At 50.7% G+C, this 18,880-nt stretch overlaps 1 protein-coding gene across 5 annotated transcripts in view, besides 7 other annotated features; it reads right to left on the reverse strand.

Annotated features, from left to right (window-relative positions):
- Positions 1 to 18,880, reverse strand: part of XXYLT1 (xyloside xylosyltransferase 1) — a 202,876-nt gene that overhangs the window by 40,375 nt on the left and 143,621 nt on the right. The gene's annotated exons all lie outside the window — the stretch shown is intronic.
- Positions 8,643 to 9,185: an enhancer, noted in NCBI's record as "H3K27ac hESC enhancer chr3:194838030-194838572 (GRCh37/hg19 assembly coordinates)". NCBI's record gives its function as "activates a minimal SCP1, AML or CMV promoter by ChIP-STARR-seq in primed H9 embryonic stem cells {active_cell/tissue: H9 hESC(primed)}" and the evidence as "EXISTENCE:reporter gene assay evidence [ECO:0000049][PMID:30033119]".
- Positions 9,186 to 9,726: an enhancer, noted in NCBI's record as "H3K27ac-H3K4me1 hESC enhancer chr3:194838573-194839113 (GRCh37/hg19 assembly coordinates)". NCBI's record gives its function as "activates a minimal SCP1, AML or CMV promoter by ChIP-STARR-seq in primed H9 embryonic stem cells {active_cell/tissue: H9 hESC(primed)}" and the evidence as "EXISTENCE:reporter gene assay evidence [ECO:0000049][PMID:30033119]".
- Positions 9,460 to 9,519: an enhancer, noted in NCBI's record as "active region_21041". NCBI's record gives its function as "activates an Ori minimal core promoter by ATAC-STARR-seq in GM12878 lymphoblastoid cells {active_cell/tissue: GM12878}" and the evidence as "EXISTENCE:reporter gene assay evidence [ECO:0000049][PMID:35858748]".
- Positions 15,559 to 16,091: an enhancer, noted in NCBI's record as "H3K27ac hESC enhancer chr3:194844946-194845478 (GRCh37/hg19 assembly coordinates)". NCBI's record gives its function as "activates a minimal SCP1, AML or CMV promoter by ChIP-STARR-seq in primed H9 embryonic stem cells {active_cell/tissue: H9 hESC(primed)}" and the evidence as "EXISTENCE:reporter gene assay evidence [ECO:0000049][PMID:30033119]".
- Positions 15,559 to 16,216: a biological region, named in NCBI's record as "Sharpr-MPRA regulatory region 14086".
- Positions 15,922 to 16,216: a silencer, noted in NCBI's record as "tiled region #14086; HepG2 Repressive DNase unmatched - State 8:EnhW, and K562 Repressive non-DNase unmatched - State 7:EnhWF". NCBI's record gives its function as "represses a minimal TATA promoter and a strong SV40 promoter by Sharpr-MPRA in HepG2 and K562 cells {active_cell/tissue: HepG2 | K562}" and the evidence as "EXISTENCE:reporter gene assay evidence [ECO:0000049][PMID:27701403]".
- Positions 17,155 to 17,685: an enhancer, noted in NCBI's record as "H3K27ac-H3K4me1 hESC enhancer chr3:194846542-194847072 (GRCh37/hg19 assembly coordinates)". NCBI's record gives its function as "activates a minimal SCP1, AML or CMV promoter by ChIP-STARR-seq in naive H9 embryonic stem cells {active_cell/tissue: H9 hESC(naive)}" and the evidence as "EXISTENCE:reporter gene assay evidence [ECO:0000049][PMID:30033119]".

The following is an 18,880-nucleotide window of genomic DNA, read 5'->3' on the forward strand; positions in this document are numbered from 1 at the left end:
AAACCTGCATGGCATGTTACTATACTGAATACTGTAGATGCCTGTAACACAATGGTATCTGTCTATCTAAACATATCCAAACATAGAAAAGGTACAGTAATAATATGGTATTATAATCGGACGGGACCACCATCATATATTGACCAAAATGTTACGCAGCATGTGACTATAACTCAATTTCACTCTCCCCCTCCATGAAGCTAGAAAGTAAATCCAAGGATGTCCTTACAACACCCTACTGGTAACGTCACGTCCCACACAGTGGCTAGAAATAATAATTAAGGCAGCTATTATCTTGTGAGGTAAGCACTACTTCAGAGCTTTACCTGTATTTTCTTTAGTTCTCACGAAAACCCCAAAGGTATTATTATTTCCAATATATTGATAAAGCAGTGAATTCTCAGGAAAGTGAACTCGAAAGGGGCAGAGCCAGGACTGTTAATCACCCAGTCCCACTACCCCCAAAATTCATGCTCAGCATTCCTCCAGATACTCTCTCTTCGTTGCTTGCAGATCTCCACTCTTGAACAGGAGCATCATTTTATGAAGGAGGGCACAGGCAAGGTACTTCCACAGCAGAGGCCGACAGCCCAGCAGCGCCTTCACTATAGCTGAACACCTTGAGGCACACTCTCGAGAAGGCGGAATAACCAGGCCTGGCTCTCCCAAGCCAGCAGCGTGTGTGTGCGTGTATGGTGTGTCTGTGTGTGGCATGTGTGTAGTGTATAAGTGTGCATGTATGTGTGCATGTGTATGGTGTGTGTGTTGGTGGTGTATGAGTGTGTGGTATATGTGTGCGTGTATGTGGTATATGTGTGCATGTGTGTGTGAGGTATGTGTACGTGTGTGGTGTATGAGTGTGCATGTGTGTGGTGTACATGTGTAGGGGGTGTGTGTGTGCATGGTGTGTGTGGTTGTGTGGCATATGAGTGCACGTGTGTGTGGTGTGTGTTGTATGAGTGTGTGTGGTGTCTGTGTGGTGTGTGTGGTGTATGTGTGCGTGTGTGTGGTGTGTGTGTTGTATGAGTGTGTGTGGTGTCTGGTGTGTGTGGTGTATGAGTGTGCGTGTGTGTGGTGTATGTGTTCAGGTATGTATGTGAGTGTGGGGCTGGGTGTGTGTGTGGTGTATGTGTGGTGTGTGTGGTGTATGAGTGTGTGTGTGGTGTATGAGTGTGCGTGTGTGTGGTGTATGTGTGCCTGTGTGTGTGGTGTATGTGTGCATGTGTGTGGGTGAGGTGTGGGTGTGTGTGGTGTGTGTGGGGGTATATGTGTGTGTGGTATATGAGTGTGCGTGCATGTGTGTGTGTTGTGTGTATGTGTGTGGGTGGGGGTGTGTGCATGGTGTGTGGTTGTGTGTGGCATGAGTGTGCATGTCTGGTGTATGTGTGCGTGTGTGTGGTGTGTGTGGTGTCTGGTGTGTGTGGTGTATGAGTGTGCGTGTGTGGTGTATGTGTGCATGTGTGGTGTGTGTGTGTGTGGTGTGTGTGGTGTCTGTGTGTTGTGTGTGGTGTCTGAGTATGTGTGTGTGTGGGTGAGGTGTATGTGTGGTGTGTGCGTGTGTGGTGTATAAGTGTGTGGTGTGCGTGTGTGGGTGAAGTGTGTGTGGGTGTGTGGTGTGTGTGGGGTGTATGTGTGCGTGTGTGGTATATGTGTGTGTGGGTGAGGGTGAGGTGTGTGTATGTGTGTGGTGTGTGGTGTATGTGCGTGCGTGTGTGCTGTATAAGTGTGTGTGGTGTGTTATGTGTGTATAAGTGCGTCTGTGGTGTATGTGTGCGTGTGTATGTGGTGTAAAGTGTGTGTGGTGTGTGGGTGAGGTGTGTGTGTATGTGGTGTATGTGTGCATGGTGTGTGGTGTATGTGTGCGTGGTGTACGTGTGCGTGTGTGTGGTGTGTGTGTGGTGTATGTATGTGGTGTGTTGTGTGGTGTATGTGTGTGTGTGCTGTATGTGTGCATGTGTGTGGTGTGTGTGTGGTGTGTGATGTATAAGTGTGTGTGGTGTGTTGTGTGTGGTGTATGTGTGTGTGTGCTGTATGTGTGCATGTGTGTGGTGTGTGTGGTGTGTGTGTGTGTGCTGTATGTGTGCATGTGTGTGGTGTATAAGTGTGTGTGGTGTGTGTGTGGTGTATAAGTGTATGTGGTGTATGTGTGCGTGTGTGTGGTGTATAAGTGTGTGTGTGGTGTGTTGTGTGTGTTGTATAAGTGTGTGTGTGGTGTGTGGTGTATGTGTGCGTGTGTGTGGGTGAGGTGTGTGGTGTGTGTGTGTGGTGTGTGTGAGGTATGTGTATGTGGGTGGGGGCAGGGTGATATTTATTTTCTAGGGCTGCCACGACAAAGTACAAACCGGTTTGCTTAAACAGCAGACACTGATTGTCCGCAGTCCTGGAGGCTAGAAGTCTGAGATCATGGGTCGGCAGGGCTGGATCCCTCTGAGGGCTGCGAGGCCGAGCCTGTTCCAGGCCGCTCCCCTAGCTTCTGGTGGTTCGCTGGCAATCTTTGCTATTCCTTAGCACGCAGAAGCAAAGCCGTGATCTGACTTCTCCTTTACGTGATGTTCTCCCTGTGTGTGTGTGTCTGTGCCCAAATTCCTCTTTTTATAAGAACACCAGTCATACTGGATTAGGCTCGACCATGAGGACCTCATCTTAACAAATGACATCTGCAACGACCCTATTCCAAATAAGGTCACATTCTGAGGGAGTGGTGGTTAGGGCTTCAGCGTATGAATTTCTGAGGAACACATTCAATCCATAGCAGAGAGGGGAGATGGGGAGAGAGGCTGGATGGGGAGCAAGGGGAAAGGAGGTGGCGGAGAGGGTCTGGCTGGGCTGAGTGGGCTGGGCCTGTGTGTATCTCTCTGGCTAGGATGGCGCTCCAGGGGCAGGTGTCTGATGGTGCTCAGTGTCTCTCATGACGGGAGCATCTGTCACTGTGAACGTCTGTAAGCAGCAGGTAAAGGACACGCTGATTGTGACCAAGCTGAACGAGTATTATACTATCACTGGCCCACCCATCTACCACTGGTACTGACTCGTGAAGCCTATCTTTTCTCACAGAATTCCACTGTCTTCAACGTGGTAAGATTAACAGACAGACTTCTAACATAAGCTGTCTTCACAGGGCCTTGAGGCTGGATTACCTCAGTTACAACAAAACAGAATTTTCAAAAATAGGAACTCAACTTAAAGATTTAAAATTGAGGTAAAGTGGCCTTCGGAAAAATATGTAAATACAAGATCATTTGCTCGCCCCAATCGTGGAAGCTTGATTCAAATAGCGCGTGCCTGCTCTACATGCAAAGTGAACATCCTGATTGCCTGTAAATGCCTCAGGAACTCATTTCTTCTACAGTTTACTTGGCATTACTATCGCTGCAGAAATGTGCAAATGAGACGGGTGCTAATATCAATCAGTACATTGGTATATACCAAATCAGCTTAAGTGAGGACAAGATAGTTATAATTATTCTTAAAACCCACGAGACCATTTCTAGCCGTCAGGAGGGCCCATGAACTAGGAAACTGAGGCTTGCTGACATCTCAGCGACACCTGGGCAAAAGCCTACTGGAATCCGGGTCAGGTTCTGTGGGCTGCCATGGCTGAACACTGGGCAAACACGGGTTTCGCTGATGCTTTGGGGTTCGCAAGCCCCAGAAGATCTGTCCACACTGATCCACTCTGCTCAGTTCTGAGGCAACTCGGGGCAGGGCCATCGAGCCCACCCACCCCAGCAAGGACTGCACGTGCGCACGTGCGCGCACACACACACATGCACACACACGCACGCACACCCACACGCATGTGCACACCCACACACATGCACACACGCATGGACACATGCACACACCCACACACACCCACACACACACACAGAGCCCCCAGCCCCAGGTGGGAACAGCTAGATGAAGCAGTGCACACACACGCACGCACACACACACACGCATGCACACACACGCACACATGTGCACACACACACCCCCATGCACACACGCAGCTCCCAGCCCCGGGTGGTGGGAATAGTTGGATGAAGCAGTGCACACACACACGTATGCACACACGCAGCTCCCAGCCCCGGGTGGTAGGAACAGCTGAAGCAGTGCGCGCATGCACACACACACACCCATGCACACACGCAGCTCCCAGCCCCAGGTGGTGGGAACAGCTGAAGCAGCGCACACACGCACACACACCCACACGCATGCACACACATGCATGCACACATGTGCGCACATACACGCAGCCCCCAGCCTCCAGCCCCAGGTGGTGGGAACAGCTGGATGAAGCAGTCAAGAGAACATGGGTTTCAAAATCCAATCTGGGTTTCAACTGCAGCCATGCCCCTCACTCGCCGTGCCATCCCAGGCAAGCTGTTGCTCTTCTTTGAGCTTCAGCTTCCTCCCAGATAGGAACATTAATCCATACCCAGAGGCTGTGTGAAGATTAAACAGCATTTCATATGAGGAGCCCTCGCACAGAGCCTGGCAAGAGCCACTCCTTGGTCCGTGGACCTTCCCGTCTTTTCTCCCTTCCACAGTAAGGATGGAGCCGCCTCAGGAAAACATCTCCCACTGATTTCGCCGCAACTGCAGGATGGAAACGGAGGTGAACATCTGGCGGGAGCTCGGAAAAACGCCAGTTTCTGACACTATCTTCGACAAGCCAGGGAGTTGGGAAAGCTTGGGAGGGGAGTGGTGCACTAACGTATATTAACACTTACTACGAGGCAGGCACCGTTCCAAGAAGCTGACATGTTTTCAAGAATCTTAATTCTCAGAACATCCCTGATTAGGTAGTACGCTTATCCTTAACATAGGGGGAAACTGAGGCACAAAGCGGTTTACTGGTTTGTCCAAGGTCACAGGGCTATTAAATAGTGGAGCCAGGACCTGAACCCAGGCAGTGTGAACCCAGCACTCACGGTCTTTTTTGTTAGAATCCTTTTTCTCTTTAATCAGTTTTGGATTTCCCCTCTGTTTCATGAGCTTTTTGCTTTACTTTTTAGCCATTCATTCCACAAACACCTACTCGGAGCCAGGCCTGGGAATGCCGAGCTTGGCTGAGGGAGCCTGCACAGCACCCACAGGACCAGGCAAAGAGGCGGAAAGGGGTGTGGCCAGGAGAAAGGGTTGTGGCCAGGAGAAAAGGGTGGAAAGGAGCCCTGGGCATTCTGATAGTGCCAGAGGGTGCTCCTGAGGCCGGCGGGCAAAGAATGCTATGAAGAAGGGGTGTCTGAGTTGGCCATGAATGACAGAGAGGATTTCTCAAGGTAGAGATGGGTGAAGAGAAGTCCCTCCAGGTGGCAGGAACAGTGCAAGCAAAGATAAGCAGGTGAAAGCTTGGCACAGCATCTGGGAGCCATGAGTGCCCAATTTGGCTAGAGCGTACTGAGTCAGTGCCAGGTCACAAACGCCTTGAGTGCCAGACCCCTGGGTTGAAGATTCTGAATGCATTCCAAGATTCAATTAAGGAAGCAGGATGATCTGCCCATGATTTTGCCCACTTATGGTGGCAGCCAATCATCCTGCAACAACTGTGCCCCAGTCCACACGCTTCCAGGGAAAGCTGCATTGGGTGGCCCCCTTCTCGCTCCTCCACGTGAAGCCCTGAACTCAGCTGCCCAAATTTGTTTCTCCACAAAGTACAGCCACACCATTGCACCCAAAATGGAGGATCTGAGGGGCCAAGGAATGACTACTGCCTGGAGAGCCGGGAGACACGGAGCATCACCTTCCACCTGCGTTGAGCTTCTTTTCATTTCACTCCATGTACTAAATAAGCCATTTTGAGCACCTGCTCTGTGTACGGTCCTGTGCCTGGGTCCCATGAGACCCAAATCATTGTCATTTCTCTAGCACTTGAAACACATCTGTCCCCCTACACCCACAATCACATTATACAACCATGTCATCAACAAGTACATTTCTACTAAAAAGTTCCTGCTCATGACAGTGCTGGGAGGACATCTCTTTACACGTTTAATTACGAAGACCAGGACCAGACATGAAATCCTAATGACCCAAATGAACAGCACTTGATGTAGAAGGCAGCGCGGCTTTGCCCACATTCCCTGAACCTCTGTCAAGCTTGTGACAAGCTTTCGTCAATCAGACGAAACTAAGTGAAAAAGCAATCGCTTTTGGAGCACGCAGGAAGGTAGCAGTCTTACAGGCTTAGAAAACCAGGGAGGAGTGAAGCCGCTCAGTGGTCTCCCTGCCGGTGCAAGGAGGCTGCCACCTGCAGAAGGTGCTAACGCCAAGTGTGGGAAGACACCGGGGTCGGCCTGGGCGCAGTCACTCCTGGGTGGAGGCTGAGCTTGGGAGTGTGAATGCCGCAGGCCCCACCCGTTCCACTCGTCAAAATCGTACCTAGCTGAGGTTGCACAGTTGGCTCCTCCCAAACCTCCCGTTGATCCTCCTCCTATTGAGAGGTTGGAACGAGGGAAACTAAGCTTCCCAGATGCCCAAACGGCGAGAGCTCGGGACGTGAATCAGGTGCTGCGACTCGGGAACTAGTGTGCTCACATGAGACGTGCCCGGTGAGAATGTGGCTTCTGGCTGTCACTGCTGGTTAGACGGTCCCAGTCACCTTGAACCCAGGTCGTGCTGCCGCTTCCTGAGTACCAGAAAAGCAGGGCAGTGGTGGTGATTTCTGTCCAAACTCCATAATCCTCAGACCTCAACTTAGACTGTTCATCCTTCAGCCTCCTAGAGAGTCCAGGAATGGCTGTGGGCTGGCAACAGCTGCTTCTGAACTAGCCAGGAGTCCTTCAAAAGGCCCAGCCGGAAACCTGCCCCTTGAGCCCCTCCAACAATGTTGTAAGCACCTAATTCCAACAAGAAACTCCTTCTGCTTACACCACCTGGAGTGGTTTCTGCTTCCTACGCGATCCCTGGTTGATAAACCCTGCCTGGCAAACCGAGCACGCGTGAAGGCCTCAGGAGCCACAGTGGAAGTGGTTTGGAAAGCACAGCTATTTACAGGACGACTCCCTTCATCTGGTGCGGAGCAGTAACCCCCTCGTCTGGCTCCGGCAGCACACCGTGTGCGCTCTCACCTTTGAGCTGAGGTGTTCACGTCCGAGGTGGAGGAAGGAGGGCGGCAGGTGCAGGCCAGGACCGGACCTCGGTTATCTAGAGAGTAACTAACAGTGCTTTGTCAGAGGGCGAGAGGGTCTGATGGGGGCAGCTCTGTATGAAAACTGGAGGCGCTGAGGCTGTCCTCAGGCTCAGGAGACAAAGACCGAGGACAGGTGACAGGGACAGTGATAAGGAGCTGGGCCGCTCAGGAGATGGCAGGAAACTCAAGTCAGGCAGCTGAAGCATGCACTATTTGCCACAAACGGAGTCGGGCTATCTAAAACAGGTTGTTTACGTGGACTTGATGGGCCTATAAGACTCAGCGACAGGGAGAAGCAGCTGGATTGGGGTGTGTTGAGCTTTCCTGTCACCCAAGGCAGAGGGGCGCTGTGTTCTGGTAGGTGACATGCACTATGAGATCTCAAGAGCAAGAGAAAGAAGGCATGCCACCACGAGCGGTGGAATCTGCACCATGCTGGATCTACTGACACATCTAAAACATTCTCAACTGCAGCAACATTTCTGGGCAAGTAAGTTCTAAGCGTGTCTGTTTCCCCTCACAAATTCTAACCAGAATGCTTTAAGCCAATGCTTCTCCAATTTTAATGTTTCTGTGAATTATCTGGGGATCTCGTTAAAATGTAGATTCTGAGTCAGTAGGTCTGGGGTGGGGTCTGAGATTCTGTTTCTGGTCCATGAACTACACTTTGAGTAGTGAGACTTGAAGCTTCAGAAACATCAGTCAAGATCCAAACTATTTACAGGTGCACTGCCAAGTGCACATCAGCAAGAAGGGAGGGAACTTGGCCCAGGAAACACAAGAGAGAGACAGTAGAACCAATCCACAGGACAACTTATCAGCTCTCACCGGCTTGCAACTCTATTTCCTGCTCTCTCCCTCACCCTTACCCTGGGACGCTTGGGAGAATAAGATTTAATTTCCCATTTCTGGGGACTCTAAAAACTGTGCAGAAGGGAAAGGGAAGGTAAGTCATTGAGGGCTGACCATCTCCAGGACCAGGTAAAGGCTGAGACGGAAACACACTTGCTTGCCTGCCTGACCCAGAAAGCCTTGTTCTCCTTTCTGGAACCTCGGGAGCAAAACAGGCAAAGGTCCCACAGGTGATTGGGGGAAGAGCAATCCAGATGGCAGATAATCCTATACAATAATGCTCAGGCACACCAGGGGTCAGAGAAATGAAACAAAGTAACAATGAAGTGTTACTGCCCACCCATCAGCCCAGCCAGCACAAACAAGGAAATCACAACTGATGCTACGGGGATGTGGAAACAGGTGCCTTCATGTACTATTAATGGAAGTGAGAATTGCTGTAGTTTATTGGGAAAACAATCTGGAAACATCCTATATATATATAGTGTATACACACACACACACACACACACACACACATCCCCTTCAGCTCAGCACTCCTACTCTTGGGAATCTATGCCTGGGAAATAAAAGCACTAGCTCGGAAGGACACATACACACACGCGTCCATATGTACAAATGAGAATGTTTGTGGAAGCATTATTTATAAGTGAAAAAACTAGAGATAAAATGAATGCCATCAAAGTAAGAATGTTGAATCAGATGTGGGCCATCCATCCTATGGACTACATTAGCAGAATGAAATAAGAGAGGCATACCAGTGAACTTGAGGGATTTTTCTATGAAGTACTGATGAGCAAGAAAAGCAACATGCAGTAAATTTGATTCATATGATCTCATTTTTATAAAACAATTTTTAAAAACTTGTACATGTATCTATGTGTTGATGTGTGTCATAAGTGTCTATGACTTTTATAAGCACAGATAAACATATGGGAGGATTCCAAGTTATTAAATGAGTTATTTGGTGTGGAGTAGGGGTCGGGGTAGCGTGGAAACAAAGGGAAAAACTCCATGCACCCCCCTCTCTCACGCACACATGCATGCACACATCCAGGGAAACAATAAGAATGAGGGGTCCCTGGCCCTCTTTCCCTCTGTGGTGCCTGCCCGGAGCTCAGCTCTTGTGGGTAGCTGTCACTACAGGACACTGTGGAGGGGACTAATTACATGCCAATAAGTGTAAAGGTCAGTGGCCATCTCAGTGCCACTCAGCACTGGAGTTCCCATTCCTGGGCCCCTGGGCCACAGCCTCCCCGTCGGAATAACACTTGGAAATTTCCAGGAAGAAGAAATTCACTCTGCTCAGGGCAGCATGTTCTACTTTTTGAAAATGACTTTTTAGTGAGTTCTTTCTCACATGATGCTGAATTTCACCCCTTAACGCTTCTGCTCTCTGCTCCACGTCCTGCCCCCTAGAGCCACAAGGAACAAGTACATTTCCTGTCCCATATGAAGACAGAGATAATGCCCCCCTGGGCTTTCTCTTATCTTAACTAAACATCCCCAGTCCTGCCACCGGTGCTGAGCACTCATCTAAGGCATTTCCTGATGGCAGGTCAGGTTCTTACTCCTCCAGTGAGACACAGGGATTTTGATAAGATGCAGGCGAAGACCCCAAATCTCCAAGCCTTCCCAAGGAACAAGTCAGCACTACCCCTATCAGAAAAACTCTGAAGGAGATACAGAGCAGGGTGGGGAGGAAGGCAGTTCCAAAGGTCCTTCTAATTTCCTTAGGAGCCCCATGGCCCGTGGCCACCACTAGCGTGACTACACAATGACTGCCTCCCAGCTTCCACACCGGGCTCCCAGTGCATGTCACCGAGCTTGCCTGGCCATGACTCATGCAGGAAAGGCTGCACAGGTGACGCCAGGTGTGGACATGGCAGAAGGAACGGAAGATGAGGTTAGGCTTGGCTTCCTTGCAATCACCTTCTGAAGGGCTGTGGGCTGCAGCAGGGGCACTGGGCATTCCAAGCTGGGGGAGAATGCAGCCTTCACAGACTTGCCACAGGCACCTATGCCCCAGGGGCATACACAAGGGACTGCAAAGGGAGAAATGAACCATGGTGAGTTAAATCTCATTAATGCAAAACCTACCAACCCAGAATTAGAGAGACCTGGGCCTGGAGTTGACAGCGCCAATCCCAGAAACAGCTTTCACGGGTAAAGATACGAGTACACAATGTTTCAGAATTCCCGAAGGAGGTGACGTAGTAAACTTTCGAAACGTAGTTCCCTGAAGGAGGAATCTTCAGTGGGGTTCTAAGAGCACTGCGTTCCTCTGGGGCTCTGTCATTAGCTGTACATCAGCAGGCAGGTCACCTCTCTGCTTTGAGCCTCAGTTTTGTCTTTGAAAAAATGGAAATAAGCCCAGGCGCGGTGGCTCATGCCTGTAATCCCGGCACTCTGGGAAGCCAGGGCGGGTGGATCACGAGGTCAGGAGTTTAAGACCAGCCTGGCCAGCATGGTGAAACCCTGTCTCTACTAAAAATACAAAAAAAAAAAAATTAGCTGGGTGTGGTGGCACGCGCCTGTAATCCCAGCTACTCGGGAGGCTAGGGCAGGAGAATCACTTGAACCTGGGAGGTGGAGGTTGCAGTGAGCCGAGATTGCGCCATTGCACTCCAGCCTGGGAGACACAGCGAGACTCCATCTCAAACAAAAAAAAAAAAAAAAAAGGAAATAACATATATAGTGAAGCTGATATAAAAATCCAATAAGGGAAATCACATAAAATGACTATGTGACCTTAGATTGCTGTATAAATATGACTTTATTGGTCCTGCTGAGGACAGGCGATGAAGGGTATCCAGTAAGGGACCTGGGTAGCTGCTATGAAATGAGTGACTGGGTGATAACATGAGCCACTTTTCCCAACAAGAAGACAGAAAGAATGGATCAGAAACCAGGAGAGGATTCCAAGTGAATCAAGTGTAAACACACTCCTAGCCCGGGCCCCGCACAGAGTATATGGCCTGACAATGAAGCGATGGCTGGAGCTACATTCCACGACAATGAGCTGGATGCCCCCAGATGAGAGGAGGCCTCCGAGGGCTGTTTCGTCCTCACTCCGCAGAACAATGCTGAGTCTCCCGAATGCCTCTTTTGTTCCATACGGCACAAACATCACAAACATCTTTTAACCACCCTGTGTTTTCCTAGCTGTTTGTTCTTTTCTCAAAGGTCCTAAGATCACAGAATCATCTCCAAGAACAATAGCTGGGGAGCCTGTTCTGCAGTTGAAACAACAAGGTCAAGGGGTTTGTGGCTGAAGCAGGGAAGGCAGGGGGAGGTCAGGGGCTGGGCGGGGCGGGGGGAGCAGCCTGTCCCTGCATTCCCTTGGGATGGGAAGTTCCCACTGGGCCCGCAGGATTCCTGCTCGTGACTGGGGTACCGGCTGCCTGTCTCTAGGATCAGATTCCACTCAAAACTCACATGCTGTCTCTTTTCTCTCTGAAAACAAAAAGCTTAGATTTCTCCTCTGTCTTCAGCCTAAGGCCTCTATCCAGGTTCCACGGACAAGATGATCTACTCAAAGGAGGGCAGAGCCTGGGCGTCCAGCAAAGGCCTCACCCCCACCCACTCTGACACAGTAGCTGCCCCATCCTCCTGGGGGTGCCCCTCCCAACCCCACCACTGCCCTCTGCTGCTCAGATGCCCCCCCCGCCCCAGCCCCCATGGCCACAGAGAAGGAAAGCCTGGTAAAGAGCTTCAGGCTGGGCATGGAATCCTGGCTCCACCACATCCTGGCTCTGAGGCTGGCCTTGAACCATGTGTAAACCATCTGTGCCTCAGTTTTCTCATCTGGAAAATGGGAGTAATATTCATATTGACCTTACAGCATTGCCGTGAGGATTCAGTGACACTCCATATAAAGCAAGCATTGAGCACAGTGCCTGGCACAGGGTGCACCCCAATAACATTAACTAACATTATTATTCCTGTTCAGCTGTAGCAACAGAAACACCCCTGTATTCCCATGACTATCGTTAGCATTGCTATTATCCCTGCAGTGTTCTCCTCGGATGGCTCCATGAAAAGTGCTTAGTAACTCTGAGAGTGAAACCCATTTCATTCAGGATTCAGAGTCAGGATTTCCCTTCTCCGTGGCTCCGTCACTGAGCACCGACTCTGCGGGGTCCCGGAGGGGAAGACAAGGCAAGCTCACGGCACCTGAGAAGCTGGAAGAGCACGGAGAGGGTGTGCGGCCTGGCTGGCACAGCTCCTGCATGTCAGGCCAGCCCCCGCCCTGTTCCCAGACAGTCAGGGTTCCTAGGGCTTACTCCCCCAAACCCTCACCTGCAAATCAGGCTCGTGGTGTTCCCCTACCTCCCTGGGGCTCACAGGCAGGAGAGTGTGAGGGTGTGTGACGTGTGTTGGAGCTAAGATTATATAGCTGGGTGGCCTGTGGGCCACACCTAGCCTGCTGCTGCCTCCTCCGTGAGCACCCCCATGCTCCCAGGGCCCAAACACCCGGGAACCACAGCACACCGGCCATGCCCTTGGAAATGCTGCATCTACCAAAGCCTCCCTGAGCTGCAGGAAGGCCTTGGCCGCCCAGCCATTGAGAGGTCTATCTTTTCACCCGAGGATGTGATCTGCCCTCTACTCAGGCTACACCTACCGAGGCCTTCCAGGTAGAAATTCAGCCAAGGCCTGCCCCAGCGTGTGATTCAAAGGACAAGATGGTGATGAGAGACGGGGTTCCCTCTTGTACAGAAAGCCTTGGGTTGGTGCACGCAGGATGGATGGAGACTGACGCCCACCACCCGCATCTCTGCTCCTTTAACTCCTTTTGGCCTTCATACCCTCCAGGATGACCTCCCAAGACAGGGTTCCTCTAGATATTTTGCTCCCCTGCTGAATTCAGAGCCTCTGAAGGCTCCTCTTTGCTGCCTAGCCCCAAATGACGTTCTCATCTTTTCTGCCCCTACGCCCCACTCTAAAACCTTCCTCAGTCACACTGAGCATTCCCTCATCCCCAAACCTCCTCTGTGCTTTCTAACCACTTGGGTTTGGAGCTAGCAGACATGCTGGTCCTATTCTGGAGAATGGCACCCAAAACAAGAAAGGCTGAGGGCCTCGTGCTGAGACTCTACAGGAGAACACTCGCCAGGTCGGGGACTCAGGCAGCTTTATTCCAGCATTCTAGCCCTACCATCAACTGGCCCTGTGACCTGGGCAAGTGGCTACCCCTCTCTAGGCCTCAGGATCCCCATCTATAATACTGGGTGCTGACCAAGTCATCTCTAAAGGCATCGTCTAGCACTGGGCCTCCAAGAGAAAGCCCAGCCTGGACCCTACATTGTCATCCTCCATTCCTCTTGTCTTAGTTCAAGCTATTATAACAAAGTACCACAGACTGGGTGCCCATAAACCACAGAAGTCAAGTTCTTACAGTTCTAGAGGCTGGGAAGTCCAAGACCAACGTGCCCACTGATTCTGTGTCTGGTGAGGACTCACTGCCCAGTTCACAGATGGCTGCCTTTCCCCAGTCTCCTCATATGGTGAAGGGGTGACAGAGCTCTTCAGGGTCTCTTTCATCAGGACACTCATCCCATTCATGATGACCTAATCACTCTCCAAAGGCCCCACCTCCTGATACCATCACACTGGGGGTTAGGATTTCAACACATGAATTTTGGGGGGATACAATTATTCAGTCCATTGCACCCCTCAGTAGTCTAAAAGGGCTGAGGTTAAAAACGCAGATGGGAAAAGTAAGGCTCTGATATCTCCCCATCCTCCAGACGAAGGTGGAACACCAGCTCAGTGTCTAGCTGGAATGTAGTACTGAGTAGTAGTACAGCAGTACTGAGTAGTACTACTTGGTAGTACTGTAGTAGTAGTACTCAGTACTCAGTATCAGTACAGCAGCTCAGTGTCTAGCTGAGAAGTCCAGCTGGAAAGTACCCCATGCCTGAGCACCCCAGAGCTGGGTCCTAGGAGAGCCCACAAACAGGTGAGAAGGGATGAGTCCCAAGGTCCTTCGACTCCACAGGAAGGGGGAGGCGACTGCCAGCCCCAGCACCACAAATTAGCCAGGAAGCTGAGAGAAAGAAGGAAGTTTCCAGCTTTTTTGGTTTCACATTATTGACGGCACGTAACAAACTCCCCTCACCACCCCATCAGTGTGACAGCGGGGGCGACACGCTCCCCTTGGTGGCTCAGCAGCAGAGTGGGAAGAGCATCTGCTATCTCCACATCACTGTGCCTGGGGCTGTTTGCAGCCCTCCAAGAAGGACACTGAGCCCTCTGTGCTCAGAGACAGGGTGTGGCCAGCTGGAAAGGACCAGGTGCTATAAGCCAGGAGCCCGGGCACTGGCCTGGTTCTGCAACGAACCAGCTTGGTGACCTTGACAAAGTCACTGTTCTCTGATCTCACTTTCCTACACTGAAAAATGAAGGAGCTGGAGGAGATGATCTCCATGTTCCCATTCGGCAATGTCATTCTATCATTCTACTAAATGGGAATGACAACCAGATCTAATCAGCTAGAACTCATTCAACCAATATTTTTAGGTATCTTCAATGTGCAAGCCTCTAATTTACCAAAAAAAAAAACCCTACATTTTTTTCCTGAATGGCTACAGGCAGTGGAAGAAGTGGAGGGGCCCACCACCTATCCATCATAGTGGACAAATCCCCCCAGCACAGCATAAGGGGCTGCCTAAACCCCGCCATCAGCATCCACTCCCCAGAGCCTCCCCGTCAGCAAGCCCCCCTCTCCTGGCCGGCTGACGGAATTACAGAGGGCTTAATCTGTACCAATCTTCCCTCTCCTGACTGATGAGGCTTTGGGGATTCTGGGAGAACACGGAGGTGCTACTGCCTGAGTCACTAACGTCGGTGATATAACAGAGAAGGCCTCCCTGGAATATCTCTGCAGGCAGAAGACGAGTGAGTCCTGAGGGCTGCAAGGCCTGCGTCTGAAGGAGCTCGTCAGCTGAATTATTAATGGGACTCTGAACGCTGCTCAAGTTTCCCCTGACAGATGCTTTCGCCAGCTGATGGTTCTGAGACCAATTAAGAATGATTGCGGATTCCAAGGCAGTGCCACCACCAGTGAGCATCTTAAATGTCTCCGGAGCCCACTGCAGGAAATTCACAGCCAGCCATCTCCTCAGACGCGGGCACGATAATCACAAAGGGGGGCACCAGATGCTACAGGGTCTGGGCCACTGCCCCATATCAACTTCTGTCCCCCGCCCAGGACATCACCAGAACCCTAATTCCAGCACACAGAGCAGAAGGCCCTTCAAAGACCTTTGCAGCAAATTCCAAGGGTCCTAATGCCTCAGGAAAACAGGTATCATGTGAACAAAGGGATCTGGGTCAAAAAGCTTAAAAAAGCTAACGCTCAACAAAGCTAGACAGGACTGTGTACTTCAGGACTTCTAGGAGCCTTTAGTGTGCTCCGTGAATCTAGAAGAGGGGGAATAAAATGTACGTATTTCTCAAACTTACTTGATCATTACACCCTTTTCTTCCAGGACACATTCTGGGATTGGTGTTCCATGGAACTCACCTCGAGAAGTGTGGGTCTAGACCACAGCCCTCATTTTACAGACAAAGAGACAGAGGGCCAGGGTGGTTACGCAGTAAGCCAGATCTCAGGTAGAGTCCCTCATACTAAACGGCAATGTTCTAGGTGCTTGTCAGCTGCTTTAAGGAAAATGACAAGGTTTTCTACAGGAACTGACCAGATGGTTGGGGGCTGGACTGAGATGCTTCTGGGAGAACGATGGGTATAAATCCAAGACCTAGGACTCACCTGGAAGGGAAATGGTTTGCGATGGCAGCATGAGAGAGCTCTGGGGCTTTGGGCCTGGCACAGAATAACTTTGTTTTCCCCTGATAATTTGTCTAGTGTTTCTAGGCCTCCCCCTCTAGACTGTGAATTCCGTGGGGGCAAGGACCACGTTTGTTTTGCTCACGAACGCAGCCCCAGCACCTGGCACAGTGTCTGGTAAGCAGGCAGTGCTCAGGAAATATTTGCTGACAGACTGATAAACTAATGAGCACATGCCTTACTGTCAACTTCCAAAAACCCAAGACACTTTGAACCCCGTGGGAGTGTGGACCCCACATCAACCTCCAGTATCACAAGACTGCCCTCGCTGGCCGGGACACAGTCAGCCAGGTTCCAGGGACCACAACTCCCACTAGAGCCAAGCAGCGTACGGACAGGGGCTGGCTCCGGGAAGGCTGGAGTCTGAGCCGGCACTGGCAGCGTTTTTCACGGACGCAGCACACATCTGTATTTTCTATCAGGCTGCGGGTGCACAAGGCTGTCCCGGGTTATTTGAAGGACAGAGGGAAAAGAGCAGTACGAATAAATGGCATCTCAGCTTCTTTCAAGCTAACCCATTCTTTATTCATTTATTACACATTTACTGAGCAGTTACAGGGAAAGAGAAAAAAATGAAAGGCTTGATCCCCGCCCTCAAGAAGCTGATAGAAAAAAGAGAATGTGTAAAAAAGAGAAAATAAGAATGAGAAAAAAGAGGTGTGTAAGGGGCCACATGGCAAGGAAGACAGTGACGTCAGAGACACCTAGGCTAAACCTGTCCCCAAGAGCAGGGGAGGGGACCCGGCTCCGACAGGGAGCTGAACTGATATTCAGCTAGGGGCCTGGACATGATGCTTTTGGCCTCTACTCCTCGACCTTCGACCAAACAGTCCTAAAAGTGGGGGAAGCCTGGGGCCTGGGCCTTTCATCCCCATTTCCTTCCATTGCGGGGCTGGAGAATTGGGAGAGCAGCCCAGAGCAGGCTCTCCTTAGGTAGGGCCATGGACCAGGAGGGCAGCCCTAGCCTGTCCACCGGAGGGGCGTAGGAAGGAGCTCACAAGGCCAGGATATGAGCTCACAAGCCTGGTGGGGGTGGGCAATGGGGAAGAGCCCAGGAAGGGCAGCAAAGGGCTGTGACATCTGCCCTCCCCACCACCTGATTCAAAACTCTTTCGGTGGGGGGTCATCCTCCATCAGAACTCAAGCTCAATCAATCCCCTGGCCCCACGCTTCCAAATGCAAATTATCTCAATGAAGCGAAGAAGCCATATTGATTTTCAACTGAAATCTTGCCTGGAAATAAGTTGAAATGTTCATGATCAAAATCTGTGGCCAGGAGATGGGATCAGACCTAGAGGCCCTGCTGGCGCCAACCTGGTAGCAGGTGTTGGCAGAGACCTGCGTGAGGACAGTCCTAGGCAGTCACAGCCGCTCCAGCGGGCATCCACCTCCCGCAGCAGCCAGAACCCCGCCCAGACAACACTGCCCTCAACAGGGAAGGTGCGGGCAGGAGCAGCTCTTCCACAGGTTCACGATACCCCGAGATAACTGAGAAAGACACAAGGAGTGCCCCCAAAACCACATGGAGGCATTTCTGCTATATAGTCAGCAAATGAAAAATGTCAACAGTGACCTACGCCCAAATCACATGCATGCCATAAGGTTATTTTTCAATTTCTGTTTACTGCAGACCCGCCTTGGGCAAGCTGGTGCAGTTTTCTTTTCTTTAGTGAGTTGAGTTCTACCCCTAACACACAGGTGAGGTCGAGAGGCCCACTCAGTGCTGCGTGAGGCAGGATAAGGCCGTGAATGAAAGGCTGCCAGACCCAGGCCTGCGGAAACCACAGTAGCCACAGAGCTAAGCGGTGGGGTATTCGTTACCGCACCTGACCCTCTTTGGCGCTGTCCTGGCCTGTGGCAGGTCAGAAGTTGCCTTCCCACTGGTAAATGCGATTGGTCATTCTGTGATCATTCATTCATTCATTCACTCATTTACAGTAGTCCCAAATATTTGCTGGGACTGTGTACAACAGAGCATTGTACCAAGCACTGGGGATATAAAAGTGATGAAGGCACAGTTCCTGCTCTCTAGAAAGGAGCCCATGGATTTGGCCTTCTACCTTTGGTGTTCTCAATTCTGCGACAGTCTCGGCAAAAAACCCAACCGGGCATAAAGACTTGACATTCTGCACAGGAAGGAAGCACGCAGGGACAGAATGTCCATTTGTGAGAAAAAGGAGATACAAAAAATAGACATCCCTGGAGGGCTCCTCCTCCTTCTTTCAATTTGATCCCAACACTCCCCTCCCTAGAGAAGACAAGACTGTTCAACAGCATTGCCACCCCATCTGCCAGGTGGCCGGAGGGAGCAAAGGCACAGCCTCCCAGGGGCCCTCTGCTCTGACCTGGCTGCCTGGTGGAAAAACACTACAAATCTGGTAGGAGGTGATTTGATTTTCTTGCCTGGTTGCGATGCAGTTATGGTGTTATAAAACAGAGGGTCCGAAAGACTCTCACAGGGAAGCAGAAGGAAATGGTCTTTTCATCTTCCCATGTACCATTCTGTAACTCAAGTGCAGCAACCTCCATTTTACAGAATGTTCCCTCTGTGGATTTTCAGAGCCAGGCTAAGAAAATGAAAGAAGTCTTCAGGGGTAGAGGTGGGAAGAACCTGAGGGACCTGGGGTGGGCATCTGCGTTCTAGAAGAGTCTTCGCTTTGGGAAAAGCCTTCTCCAACACAGCTCCCCGGTAAACATGAGTGTTCAGAGATCAGTGCTTAAAAGAGAGGCCTTAGGAAGGGAGACACAGCAAAACTGGAATCTAAGTTTGGGGAGTACCTCACACGGCGGATTTGACTCTCAAGCATCATCCGTAGATTTGGTTTTGTGTTACTCCTGGGTGTCTTTGTCAGTTCCTCCAGGGGTGCCATGGACTTGCTAAAAAGGTGCTGGAATCAAAATTTTAATTCACGTATTTGTATTGATTTAGTTATTCCTCAGGCCCCATCTACTTGCAAAGATTTCGAGGTGGCATGTAATAAAGAAAATATAGACAATGCTAAAAGTTTAAAAATAGTGAGGTGTGGTGGCTCATGCCTGTAATCCCAGCATTTTAGGAG

Source organism: Homo sapiens, chromosome 3 (assembly GCF_000001405.40).
Source record: "Homo sapiens chromosome 3, GRCh38.p14 Primary Assembly".
Lineage (NCBI taxonomy): Eukaryota > Metazoa > Chordata > Mammalia > Primates > Hominidae > Homo > Homo sapiens.